This window comes from Homo sapiens, chromosome 9, assembly GCF_000001405.40.
Source record: "Homo sapiens chromosome 9, GRCh38.p14 Primary Assembly".
In the NCBI taxonomy this organism is placed as follows: Eukaryota; Metazoa; Chordata; class Mammalia; order Primates; family Hominidae; genus Homo; species Homo sapiens.
In genome coordinates, this window is record NC_000009.12 from 38582921 (window position 1) to 38597585 (window position 14665).

Here is a 14665-nt window from a genome sequence, read left to right on the forward strand (position 1 = left end):
TAAGGGACTTACATATATAGGATATATAAAGAACCCTTGCCATTCATAAATAACAAGATAACCCAATTTAACAAATGGGCAAAGAATTTGAATAGATATTTCTGCAAAGAAGATATAAAGACGGATAATAAGCACATTAATAGATGCTTAATGTAATTAGTCATTAGGAAAATGTAAATCAAAACCACCTTGTGGTATCACTTCACACCACAGGACCAAATCTTTGTTCAATAAAAAAGAGAAAATAAGTGTTAGGAAAAATGTAAAGAAATTAAAGCCCTTATCCAATGCTGCCGGGGATGTAAAGTGGTGCAGCCACTTTGGAAAACAAACTGTCAGCTCCTCAAAAGGTTAAGCATGAAGTTACTGTATGACCCAGAAATTCCAGTCATAAGTATATACTCCAGAAAAATAAAAACATATGCAAGCACAAAAACTCATACATAAATGTTTACAGCAGCATTATTACTATATTTTTTTTGAGACGGAGTCTTGTTCCGTAGCCCAGGCTGGAGTGCAGTGGCGTGATCTCAGCTCACTGCAACCTCTGCCTCCTGGGTCCGGGTTCAAGCAATTCTCCTGCCTCAGTCTCCTGAGTAGCTGGGATTACAGGCACACACCACCATGCCCAGCTAATTTTTGTATTTTTAGTAGAGACAGGGTTTCACCATGTTGGCCAGGATGCTCTCGAACTCCTGACCTCGTGATCCACCCGCCTTGGCCTCCCAAAGTGCTGGGATTACAGGTGTGAGCCAACACACCTGGCCTACAGCAGCATTATTAATAAGAGTCAAAAAGTGGAAAGAACCCAAAGGTCCATCACCTCATGAATGGTTACATAAAATGTTTAATGTATCCATACAATGGAATATTTCTCAGCAATAAGAAGAAATTTAGTACTGATACTGATAGAAGCAGGAGACAGCAAAATGCCTAGGCAGATATGGAAGGGTCCCCAGAGAATCTCCAGGCCCACAAGTGTCTACACCAGATAAAACGTCCGGTGCAGATAAGGGAACCTGCACAGGGGCTTGCCTGGACTTGCCAGCAGCAGACTGGAGGCCCACATGCACTGGGGGGATGGGGTGGAGCCACCAGGAATTCACGCCTTATGCAGAGGAGGAGCCTGGCCTCTTCAGCTCCTGTGTGCCTGTCCTGGTATTCAATTGTGAGGTGGAAATCTGTTTGCAGGACCCCTCTCTTTGCTGAGAGCTTCCCTTTCACTTAATAAATTCTGTCCTTCTCACCCTTCAATGGGTCCACATGGCTAATTTTTCCTGGTCATGAGAGAAGAACCCAGATTTGGCTGAACTAAGGAGCGAAAGCCCTGCATCAATACCTGCTACAGCACAGATGCAGCATGAAAAATTATGCTAAGTGAAATAAGCCAGTCCCAGTCGACCACTTGCTTTTTATTTCAGAGGCTTATATGCAAATCTATACAAAGAAGGTGGGTGGTTCCCTAGGGCTGAGGGAGGAAGGGAAAACTAGTGAAGATAGCTAAATGATGTGGGGTTTGTTTTTAGGGTGATGAAAGTGTTCTAAAATTGATGTAATGATGATTACATAACTCTGAAAATAGTAAAATTGAATGACTTGTATATTTTAAATGAGTGAATTGCATGGTGTGTTAATTACTTCTCAATAAACCTGTTACACCCCAAAATTTATTTGGTACTAGTGATCTGGAGACATGGGCTGCTTCGTTTCAGATCACTGGCCAGGGTTCAAGACATAAGAGAATCAACAGCACATCTTTTGTAAGGAAAAATATATACATACATATATTTTAAAGTATCTTTTTATTAGTATCAAGTCTGTAAAATTAAATGAAAAATCTTTCACTGCTTAAAGCACTGAGAGATTTATATTGAGGAGCAAGACCTTGTATTCTTTTGCCCCAGTTTCTATCTAAAGGGTCTGGGAATCACACCCTTCAAACAATCAAATCTCATCAGATGGGTTTTATTAACTCTTATAATGTGGTTTACTTTCTAACCTGATTCTGGTACAGCATCACAGAGAGAAGAAGCTGAAAAAAATCAAAGTTATTTTACCCCCAAATATATATTTTTTGACATATTTTGAAATGGCTGTTGCAGGGCCAAGAGATTGAAATGGCAGTACAAAGCTGCCTTCTGTGGGGGAATCTGCATCTGTAAGAAGTCTTCATTAATGTAGCCCAATCTCTCCCCTTCTAGGTCTTCCCAGATCTAGGGAAGATTAACTAAGATCCTGATGCATTTCAAGTCTGAAAAGATATATTTACCCTCTATTTTCTCTGAGGGCTGCCAGCTAGGAGGCTTCATCTACATAATAAGAACCTTAACCTCCATAATGACCTTATCTTAATTAAGGCCTTCCTTTATACCTATTTCCAGTTTTAGACAACAGATTTTCTTTATCAATTGTCACCTAAAGAATCCTTAAAACCCACCTATGACTTGTTAGCCCCTCCTTTTTGATGTCCCACTTTTAGGCTGAGCCAATGTATGTCTTCCTCATATTGATTTATGATTTTCCCTACAACTCTGTCTGCTGGAAATGTACAAAACCAAACTGTAATGTGACTGTCTCATGAAGCATTCTCAAGAGCTCTTGAGATTGGGTAATCCAGGGCCACAGTCACCATACTGGCTCAGAATCAACCTCCTTAGATGTATTTTGGCTGAATTTGGGTTTATCCATTATTAATATTTCTCCAAATTACATAATTTTAATCCCCAAACTGATTTAAAATTACCTTATGTTTAAATATAAATTATTGTATTATGAAGACACATGTATTTGTATGTTCATTGCAGCACTATTCACAATAGCAAAGACATGGAATCAACCCAGATGTCCATCAATGATAGACAGGATAAAAAAATGTGGTGTATATACATCATGGAATACTATGGAGCCATACAAATGAATGAGATCATGCTTTTTGCAGGGACATGGATGAACTCGGAGCTGTTATCCTCAGCACACTAACGCAGGAACAAAAAACCAAACACTGCATCTTCTTACTTATAAGTGGGAGCTGAATGATGAGAACACATGGACTCAGGGAAGGGAACAACAAACACCGGGGCTTGTTGGGGTCAGGAGGGAGAGCATCAAGATTAATAGCTAATGCCTACGGGGCTTAATACCTAGGTGATGCATTGATACGTGCAGCAAACCATCATGGCACACATTTACCTATGTAACAAACCTGTACCTCTTACACATGTAATCTAGACCTTAAGATAAAATAATAATTTTTTAAAATTACCTTCTGTTTTAGCTTCTTAAACAGAATATCCATTTTCAGTTGGTCTGTATTTAAGTCTCCATGGCAACTGAAGTCCTCATTTGCAAATGCATTTAACATATTTATTGTCATTTCTAGGCATTTCTTATATCTGCAGAAATGTAAGAACTAGTAAGTCAAGTATTTTTAAGAGTAAATATTTAATAATTGTTTAAACAGATATTATGTTATGGCATATCAAAGAAACAAATCTATAAACTATGATCCTCTCAGTTTCAACTGAACATAGTTTGAAAGCATTCTATATGAAATTATAATCTTATATAAATAATATGAAGAACAATTTTATGGTATATATAGCAGGTAAAGTGATAATAGCCATACAGTTTTTGGTTTTTTTTTTGTTTGTTTTTGTTTTTTGAGATGGAACTTCACTCTTGTTGCTCAGGCTGAAGTGTGATGGCGTGATCACGGCTCACTGCAACTTCTGCTTCCTGGACTCAAGTGATTCTCCTGCCTCAGCCTCCCAAGTAAGCTGGGATTACGGGCATGTGCCACCATGCCTGGCTAATTTTGTATTTTTAGTAGAGATGGGGTTCACCATGTTGGTCAGGCTGGTTTTGAACTCCTGAGCTGAAATGATCTACCTGCCTTGGCCTCCCAAATTGCTGGGATTACAGGCATGAGCCACCACACCTGGCCTAACCATACAGTTTTTTATAAATAGACTATTCATATCCATTTTGGTATGCTAAGATGAAATAACGTATTAGTAAATATAAGGCATAACCGAGAGATGAGTAACCAAGATTTTTAAAAAGTAAAACACATATATGTTTGAAAAAGACACAAAAATACATTTTGATATCCGTTGACCACAGTCTATAAGAAGAAAAAAAAGTACACCCAAAAAGCACAAGGACATTATTCAATGTAGAAAAAGAGAAGAAAACATCTTTAATGTCTGAATTGAGGAGAAAAAGAAAACGGGCAGTTTTAGAAAAAAGGAAAGGTGGAGAGAGATATGTGATGATTTAAAGACTTTGAAGAAGAGATCTAGAGATCTTTACTGACATAATGTCAACAAAATGAAAGGTACAAAACCATGTAGAGAAAGACAATGGCAGAAAAATGTTGATTAGAATCAGAAAACCAACTTAAGTGCTCAGTAAATACATGGAAAAGTAGCTGTGTTCAGGGCTTCAAAGACACATTCCATTTTTTTAAAAAAAGTCTGTGATCAAAACATGAATGCTCATTTTACTCTTTTTCTTTAGGTTATACTTTTTTATATATAAAATTTATTTCTGTAAAACAGAAGTTTAATAAGATGTATACTTCATGTATACAATGGAGGTACCCATGTAAAATGAGTAAATTTCCATGATATGTTTTATATCTAAAAGAAAAACAAAGAAGCAGAAACAAAATACAAGCTATATATCAAGATAAATTTTGATGTTAAAGAAGGACACAAATAGGTCTTTAAAAAATTTGAATGCAGCAGAGAAGAATATTACAAAAGGAAGAAAAGATGACCAAATACAGCAAAAATATCTTCAGAAATAAAAATTCAAACTAGATAATGAAAAGTGCACTTGACATTACATGTCCAAAGCATTGTCATTATTGTTTTCAAAATCATTAAAGAATACGTTGCTAAGCGCAGTGGCTCATGCCAACTTTGGGAGGCTGAGGCAGGTGGATCATGAGGTCAGGAGTTCGAGACCAGCCTGACCAACACAGTGAAACCCCATCTCTACTAAAAATACAAAAATTAGCCAGGCAGGGTGGTGCACACCTGTAATCATAGCTACTCAGGAGGCTGAGGCAAGAGAATCACTTGAACCCAGGTGGCAGAGGTTGCAGTGAGCCGAGATCGCGTCATTGCACTCCAGCCTGGGTGACAGAGCCAGACTCTGTCTCAAAAGATAAATAAATAAATAAATAAAAATAGGCGTAATGTTTTGGCATTCAAAAAAATTTCAGATTGTGTTGTAAGTTTCTTTTTTCACATATTTTTAATATAAATTTTTTCATCCCAATCTCGCCCCAGCAGCTCAGCTGACTTCCACCCCGTTTCTCCCCTTCCATTGGACTCTATGACACATGGTCTCATCCAGAGATCTATTTTTCATCACTTATTGTGTTTTTATACTGAAATTTGATTTTTTTAATAATTCCAACAAAAAAGTCCAAGGGTCATGGACTCCTGCTCACATGCCTATAAAGTTGTGTTGTCAGTTTCTGAAATACATTTTAAAACAGAATTCATTTAATTATGAAAATGAAGACATAAAATGGATTTGTATCAAAGTTTTAGTCAAGTAAAGTTAGAGTTAAATCAATTACTAAATGGTTAAAATGTTCTACAATATGAAAACCATACCCAGTTGCCTCTTCTTCTAATTCACGATTTTTCTTTCTTATTTGGTCCGCAGTATAGTTCAGTAATGATATTAATTCAAAAAGTTTTCTGAATTCTTCATGTTTTTCTTCAGGCTTGAAAAAAAGTGTTTAAAATTATTTTTGTAAAATCTAGAGACCCTCTTCTATCTTAAAAATATTATTTCTCATAAGTTGATGAATAATATGTATTTAGGCGGTTGTATAAAGTGCATTTTACAAACCTGATGCCAATAACGAGATTTCAAAACTAGTCATTTTCTTAAAACAGCTAAAAAAGATTCACACTTTCATCATTACCTTTTCTGAAATTTAAACTGCCAAAAATGTTTGTTAAAAATGAGAGTTTTTACACATAAAGTACTAAGGGTTAGTAAGATACATTAAGAGTAGTAATATTTACATTTTAGTTTTTAAAGATGCTCTAGAAACATTGTCATTAATAGTTTAAGATATTCCAAGTTAAATTACATCTTACTAAGATGATTTTTAGAAAACTCTTATCTAGTTCCCACTACATTTTTGATCCTCATCTATCTTCAGGCTGAGCTAAATACTGTCATTCTCTGTGAGTATTCACCGGTAGGTTTCGGTTTTTCCCTGTCTATTAACCATTTCTCTTTAAACAAAGTTTATTTTTTCTACAATACACAAATAATAACTTTTGTCTACTTTTTGTGGCTTTTCTATTATCCTGTTTCTCCCCTTCCATTGGACTCTATGACACAGGGTCTCATCCAGAGATCTATTTTTCATCACTTATTGTGTTTTTATATTGAAACTTGAGATAAACCAGTGCAAGTCTCTTTAGAGCAAAACCTAGGTAACAGACATCTGGGTTGCTTGGCAAAGGTCATGTGTAATCCTAAGTTATGAACCTGTCACAATTTAATTAATTGTTCTGCCTCTGTATCCGTGCTTTCACACCACTGTAACTGTAAGCCTGCTTCAAGCTAGCCCACCCCATTTTTGAAGTGTGTATAAAAGTCAAGTGCTGTCTTTGTTCTGGGCCCAGTTTGTCAGATGTTGAGTCCGCTGGGTCTGAGTACACTCGATAAAGATATCTTCCTGTGTACACCCCAAGGTCTCTCTCTGGTCCTCCTGATTCTGCAACACCACCTCACCCAGCTAATTGTTTGTATTTTTAGCAGAGATGGTGTTTCACAATGTTGGCCATGCTGGTATTGAACTCCTTACCACATGATCTGCCCTCCTCGGCCTCCCAAAATGTTGGAATTACAGGCGTGAGCCACCATGCCTGGCTGCTACTCCTCTTTTTAAATTCTCTCAGAACTCCTAATATCTCAAAACATTAACCTGGATTCCCTAATATAAATTTCCAGCTCTGACCTTTTTACTGAGGCCTCTTCCCTCTAGTACACATATTATAGACAATATTCTCAACCACACACTTATACATTTGCTACCTGGTGCAGATTACTTTTGTAGATAGTGAATCTTGTCTATTTTATGTTGATTCTTATGGATGTTACTTTGAGTACAGTGTTATTTTCTAATCTTGAAGGGGGGCTGTCTCACCCTTAGGATATTCACCAGTATACTTTGCTTTGTCCTTTCTTTTTCTTTCTTTCTTTCTTTTTCCTTCTTTCTCTCTTTCTTTCTCTCTCTCTCCTCTCTCTCTTTCTTCTTTTTTGTACCAGTATATTTTGTCCATTTTTTCTTTTTCTTTTTCTTATTTATTTTTTTTGAGATGGAGTCACACTCTGTCATCCAGGCTAGAGTGCAGTGGTGCCATGTCGGCTCACTGCAACTTCCACCTCCTGGGTTCAAGTGATTCTCCTGCCTCAGCCTCCCAAGTAGCTGGGGCTACAGTTGCACACCACCAGCTAATTTTTGTATTTTTAGTAGAGACAGGGTTTCACCATGTTGGCCAGGCTCTTCTTGTACTTCTGACCTCAGGTAATCCACCCACCTCAGCCTCCCAAAGTGTTGGGATTACAGATGTGAGCCACGGCACCCAGCCCTTTTTTCTTTTATAATGAAAACTTTTCCATGAGAATCAGATTATCAATTGTTTGCCTTTGTTTTCTTTTAAAGAATTTCCTTTTCCATAGAGATATGGCATGATGAACATCTTGTTCTAAAGTTCCTTTTGGGGGACACTCAACTATGTCATTGGGAAGCTTCAGTAAGTAGAGATCTCCCTTCTTCCTGATCGAGATTCTTCATCTCAGAATGGTGTCCACCAAATGTCTTAATCCAGGTAGTCTCCTGCTTAGGAATTCATGAAATAAGAACCTTCTGGAGAAGTTAGAGGCTATTGATTGAGATGGTTTAAAGCTGCCCCTTATTATATGTTTTACTCCCAAGGCAGACATCAAAGCGGCTAATAATTCTATGCCTGATGTCTAACTCAATTCTATGGGAATCTATACAAAACGTTTTATTTATGAGACAGAGCTTGCTCTGTTACCCAGGCTGGAGTGCAGTGGCTTGATCACCGCTCACTGCAGCCTTGATATTCTGAGCTCAAGCGACCCTCCTACCACAGCCTCCAATGTAGCTGGGATTACAGGCATGCACCACCATGCCCCAGCTGTTTAATTTTTTTTTTTTTTTTGGTAGAGTCAGGGTCTCACTTATATTGCTCTGGCTGGTCTCAAATTCCTGGGCTCAAGCACTGTTCTTGCCTCAGCTTCCCCAAGTGCTAGAATTACTGGCATGAGCCACCTCACCAACCAGGTGTTCCATGGAATGGTTTGAGAGGCAGTTCTACACAGAAGCCAGAAGGGCTGGGTCTGAATCCCAGATCTACCAGATACTAGCCGTGCGACCTTGAGCAAATTAATTTTCTGTGTCTCCGGTTCTTTATCTATGAAATGGAGAGAATAATACCATCTACTTCACTGGGATGTTGGGAAGATTAAACCAGGGACTGACATGAAGCACTTAGAAGAGTATGTGGTGCATGGTGAGCTACAGGTAAGATTTGCTTAGAAGCACTTAGAAGAGTACATGTACATAGTGAGCTACAGACAATATTTGCTATTAGCATGATAATTTTCACTGTTTTTTATCTCTTGACCATTGTATGTGTTAGGGAGGTGGCATTCCAATGGAAGTGGCCTTCTATAGATGCACTGAATCATTCTTCACACCACTGAAAGTGGCAGCAAATGGGGAGTGTATAATTTATAGCTTACTCTTCTCTCTGTGTGACTCAGTGGGCAACAGTCACGTATGTACTACAATGGAAACAGCACCTCCTGGATTGAGTAGTACATAACCGACATGACCAGCAGAGACAGGCTGAGCCACGGAGCTGAAAACCCTGGACTCTATTGCTAAATCAAGTCTTCTGAATCAGTTCCCTCCCAGCAGCTGTTGCTGTGGCACTGCCTTCACGAGTACTCTGCTGAGCGCTCGGATTAAGGAGCTGTGCTGTCCTTCATCAGACAAGCTGCAGCCAGAACTATTCAGCTGACAAACTGGCAACCATCCAGAAATACAGTTTTGGCTACATAGTGAAGGAAGGCAAATTTAGATTCTTTTTTCATACTGAGAAAAACATGAGCATTTGATTGAACAATTCTCCTCTATTAGACTAATTGGTTTTAATTTCATATTTAATTGCTAAAAATACACTTAGAATAAAAGATTTACTGTGTTAATGTCTCAAAGAAGTAATTGGTAGGGTATATTTTGTTCTATGCTGAAAGCTGCCAAGCTAAACTATTTTCAATTTATAGAAGGATAGGCGACATTCATGTCATATATTATTTTCCCTTTAAGCAAATTTATGTTAAGACAAAATTATCTTCCATTAAAAATGAAAAGCCATGTCAAATTAAGGGCTAAGTTGTTCTGAAGACTGGGCAACAAGTGCTGAGATGTAAGGTCAGTGAGAGAACAGTCAGAGAAAGCTTCAAGAAGAGGAAATTGCCTGCCAGGTCTGAATGAATGAGGCTAGATGAGCAGGAACTGAGAAGGCAGGAAAGACAGCATGGGTAAAACTGGTGCTGATATCTGCCCAATTAACTCTGAGGATAGAGTCCAATGGCAGGGAAATAAAAACATATGTCCATACAATAACCTGTAAATGAATGTTTGCAACAGCTGTTTTCATAATAGCCAAAAAGTGGAAACAACCTAAAGGTCCATCAGCTGATGAATGAATGGAAAACTGGTGTAGCCATGAAATAGACTATTATTTGACAATAAGAAGGAATAAACTACTGATATGTGCTACAACATGGATAAAATTCTGAAAACATTCTGCTAAGTGAAAGAGCCAGTCAGAAAGGACTTCATATTGTATGACTCTATGTATTTAAATATGCAGACCATGCAAATCTGTGGAGACAAAAGTGGATGGTGGTTGCCTACAACTGGGGTAGGTGGAGAGACATGGAGTGGGGTTGCAGTCATGGCTAAGAGATGTAGGGTTGCTTTTCAGAGTGGTGAAAATGTTCTACCATTGATTATGCTGATGACCACACAGCACTGTGAATATACTAACAGACACTGAGTTGTACATTTTAAATGGTTGAACTGTCTGACATGTGAATTATCTCTCAGTGAAACTGTTTTTAAAATCCCATGGTAGGATCCAGATAATTTTCTGAGCTCTCCATTTTGGATGTACATACTCTATTAGATCTGAGTATTTCTACGCCATTACAGTATATTTTAAATGAAAGGAAGATGAAGGCAATGCCTAACTTTTCAAGTAGTTTGTAAATTAACCTAAAACATGTGCATTTCAAAGAACAGTATGATGGCCTTTCTGTACAAGTTAACCTAGAATCCATGAAATGAATACGCACAGCTGCTGTGTCCATTCACAAAAGTGAAGAAATAAGACAACTTGCTGGAATATTCCATTAAACATTCTCTTCTGACTTAATCTGGCTTGCCTCACCAAGGCATTAAGGAAATTATCTAAAAATACTGTTTAACGGGAAAAAAGTCAATTTTCTGTGAGGAATGATGTATTATTCTCAACTTTCCCAAGTGTAGATATTATAAGAGAAAACATATGCAACTATTATTTCAAAATGGCAGAACAAGAGCCAGAGTTGAAGAAGTACGTTATAAAGATAATAAAATGGTAATGATCAATTATAATAAAATATAAAATCAAGCTGTCCACTGAAATTAGTATCCTAAGACACTTTATATTATTCAACCAGCTACAGATTAACTGTCTACATGTTAAATTCCATACATACTTGAATTTCTACTTGAAATAATTTCTTCTTTGAAGTCCATGTCTCATTCAAATTAATATGACAATGTGATGTACCTTCCAGTGGAGACTCTGATATTGAAAATGTTTTAAGGTGATCGACCAGTTCTTCTTGAAATTCTCTCACAATCACCTGACAAAATATTTTTGTTACCAATTTTATAAAGTGGCTTATTATTAAATTATGTTAATATTTAAGTCTAGCATACATACTTTGAAAATTATTACCACACACACAGATTCACTTTCTTTTCCTCATATGTACACTTTCTTCTTTATTACTGAATTCAGTGAGGGACATAGAAGGTGTTATATTCCTGCCAAATTGGTATTCTCTTACATGACAGATTGATCCAGCCCGCTATTCACTCACCTTAGACCCTCAACTCAACCTGAGTTCCTCACATATTCAGTCGCCTGTTGAAATCCTTCCAACGGATTCCTACCTCAGAATAAAATTCCAACGGCCTTCAAGGCCCTAGGTAACATGGCCTCTACCTCCCTCCCTGACCTCAGCTCCTACAACTCTGTCCCGTACAAACTTCAATCCCACTCTCTGTGAACTCTGCCACCCCTCATTAGTCTGAAAATGGGGATTCAATGTCAAACTCATAAATCACAGACAGCTAAAAGTATCTTTGTACTGGAAAGAATTATATCCAAATGATAGTCATTGAGACTTAAAATGTAAATTATGAGCTAATTACTCATAAAAATATTCACAGTAAATTATAAATACCTGCCAGTGGAAACATTACATCAAATATTTTTTTGCTAAAATTTACCACATTTATTCCAAATTGTGATTTTATAACAAGTAGAAGTCTTTAAAATACTAAGTGGTCAGAAAAATACATAATGTGAGACTGACATATTTTCAGACTTAAGTCACATTGGCATGAATCAAAACAAAGTTACACCAACTAAAATACATATAAGAGAGAGCCACTGAAGGAAAAGCATCACAAGACACAGCAACACACTTCAGTTCATCTGGAAAATCTAGAATTAAGTGTCAAAGCAGCTCACTTAATTGAATCTGATTTTCAAAATACACATTTCAGGTACAAGCATTTCCACTTACCTGCTTCATTATGCTCTTAAAATGCGGCAACATGAAGACGTTACATTTCTTATTTCAGTAGTCTAAGACTACACACCTTATCAGCATTGCTCTGCATCTACTAACATTTCATAGGTGACATAATGTCTTTACTCAAAGGAAAGCATCTTGTCAGCTCTACCTTTTATCTCCTGGAAACAAAGCATGTTTCCAAGCTGATATAGTAAACACTTTTTTGGTTTACTAAAACAGCTTTGTTGAAATATGATTTTTATTCAAACAGCTTTGTTGAAATATGATTTATAGAATTTATCTTTTTTAACAAACAGTTCAAAGATTTTTAGTAAATTTACTGTGTCGTGCAACCATCTCTACAATCCAACTTTAGAACATTTTCATCACTCCAGGACAATCCCTAATGCCCATTAGCAGTCACGACCCGCTTCCAGCCCCAGGCCTACACAAACATTAATCATCTTTCTGTCCCTATAGATGTATTTCCTGGATGATTCATGTAAATGGAATTATACAGAATGGTAAACACATTTTCATCTATTTATTTGTATATTGAACTAGGTTCAACATATAGCCAGAATGAAATATTTAAATTTTCTTTCCAGAAGTTTATAGTTTTCTTCATACTTACTTCTCTTTCTGCTTTTTCTTTTTCACACTGAAGCAGTTTTTCTTTTAAATAATTATATTCTTTCATTAATTCCTTATTTCTTTCTTCTAGAAGATCTTCCTTTCCATTCTCAAGACAGTCTCTGTGGATATTAATGACTATCTCTTTATTATCGCCTTCCTTACGAGCATCCTCTAGTTGTCGTTCAAGCAAGAGATTTTCAAGTTCTTGTTGACGTATTCTCTCCTCTAAAGAGTTCTGCTTTCCAATGGATTGACTTTCTTTAGCTTCTCCATTTGGATGCATCTGCTTCATTTCCTTTATTCGATGCTGTGCTTGCCTTAGGTCCAGCTGTACACTTCCTAAAGCCAATGTCTTTTCCCTGAGAGCATCTCTTGTCTCACGGAGCTTACCTTTTAAGGTATTGAACTTCACCCGAGCTTTATGGACCTGTTCAGTAAGCAACTCATTCTTATCTGTTAGTTGAGAAATATTAGAACCCATTTTTTCATGTCTAGAAACATCATCTGCTCTCCATAAAACTAGTTCTAGGTCTTTTCTTTCCACAATTTCATTGTACTCATTTATAGCAGTGGCCAGGCTAGAATGGAGGGATTCAACTTCAGCTTCTAGTCTTTCTTTGTTGTGTTTTTCCTTCTCCAATTCTGAATTCAGCCTTGCATTCTCAGCTTTCAGATCATTAAGCTGTTGCGAATACCGGGCCACTGTTTTTGTTATCATTTTTTCATTGAGTCTTACACTCTTTTCAAAGTTAGCATTTATTTCTGTAATGCTTTTAATTTCCTGAATATATTTCTTTTCCTTTCTGAGACTGTCATTTTTTATTGCATATAATTCCTCTTTGAGCATGGCAATGTCTTTCTTCAACATAAAATTTCCATACATCGCATCCTTCTTTTTTCCGTAACTTTGAGAATCCTAAATAAAACAAAACAAATTTTTAGTTAGCACTCAATAAAATAATCTATGATGGTTATTTCTGAAGTGAAAGAGCAATCTATACATTCATGCAATTAAAAGTTGCTGTAAGTGGATATCCAACTGGAGAAAAAGTTGAAGCAAAACCTTGAACCTTAGAGAACATACATTTCAAAAAGTTCAAAAATGTATTTGAAGTCAATGAATCCATAAAATACACACACACACACTCTAGAGAATTTTTAAGAATATCAGAATTGGAAAAGCCTTTCTCTGAATTACAACAAACTCAAAGCATAAAGTTGTTAAAAAATTTGACTAAATTAAAATCTTGGAAAAAGGAAATTGCATTTATACTCTGATATCTAACCCAGACACCACCCTATAGTAAGACCTTTACCTCGACATCTATTTGGACAGATAAAATCTCTCAAAGTTTTAAAAGTTCTGTTTCCCTGATCATATTCTATTGTGATTTGACTCAACATTTTTTAGTTGTAAGAATTACATTTACTAAATCATAAATCTAGACATTGTACTAAGCACTTCTACATACATACATTGATGAACTTATTTAGTTATCACAATCCTTAAAAAAGACAGGTTAAAAATATAAGCAAGCTGCAGGATTTTCCTCAGGGCTTCTGACTCTACTTCTAGTTCTCCATCAGATCACAGTTACCTCTGTGGTATAAATATATCAACACAAAAACAGAGAAACAAAAAGACACAGGCATAAAATGTGTCTTCTGCCTTTGTCACCTGGATTCTCCATGAAATAGCCAGATTGAGAGGATGTGACCTTGTGGGGCTTCAGAAACAGAAAAGAAGCTTTCCCTTTTCTGCACTAAGATATTCTTTTCCCCACTGCCTTTTCTCCTTATTTTTTCATTTGGTTCCTGGGATATCAAAAAAGTGAAGGTGCTCATTGAAATAGAGGAACCAAAGTTTGCCACAACACAAGGAGCCGAGTGAAACTGCTGAGTTTCTAGTGTGGAATCCTGGAAAATGAGATGTTCCTCAAATTTACATTCAATCACCACAGAAGTTTGTAGCTGGAAGATACACAGTATAGCTGTCCACTCTAGCCCCATATCTACTTGATACTGGAAGTAAAACCAAGAAATATTAAGTAACTCACCCAAAGCTCCTAAGGTGGCATTGCCTAGCATTTCGTGGCAC

The 14665-nt window shown here is 36.9% G+C and overlaps 1 protein-coding gene across 9 annotated transcripts in view; it reads right to left on the reverse strand.

Moving 5' to 3' along the window:
• Nucleotides 1-14665, reverse strand: part of ANKRD18A (ankyrin repeat domain 18A) — a 54446-nt gene that overhangs the window by 16770 nt on the left and 23011 nt on the right. For all 9 annotated transcript variants that reach the window (XM_024447483.2, XM_024447481.2, XM_024447480.2 and 6 more), the window contains 4 exons: nucleotides 12566-13483; nucleotides 10840-10989; nucleotides 5631-5743; nucleotides 3263-3392 (listed from right to left, as the gene is read on the reverse strand). In XM_024447483.2, coding sequence (XP_024303251.1) covers nucleotides 3263-3392; nucleotides 5631-5743; nucleotides 10840-10989; nucleotides 12566-13483 — 1311 coding nt within the window. The remainder of the gene's footprint in view (nucleotides 1-3262; nucleotides 3393-5630; nucleotides 5744-10839; nucleotides 10990-12565; nucleotides 13484-14665) is intronic.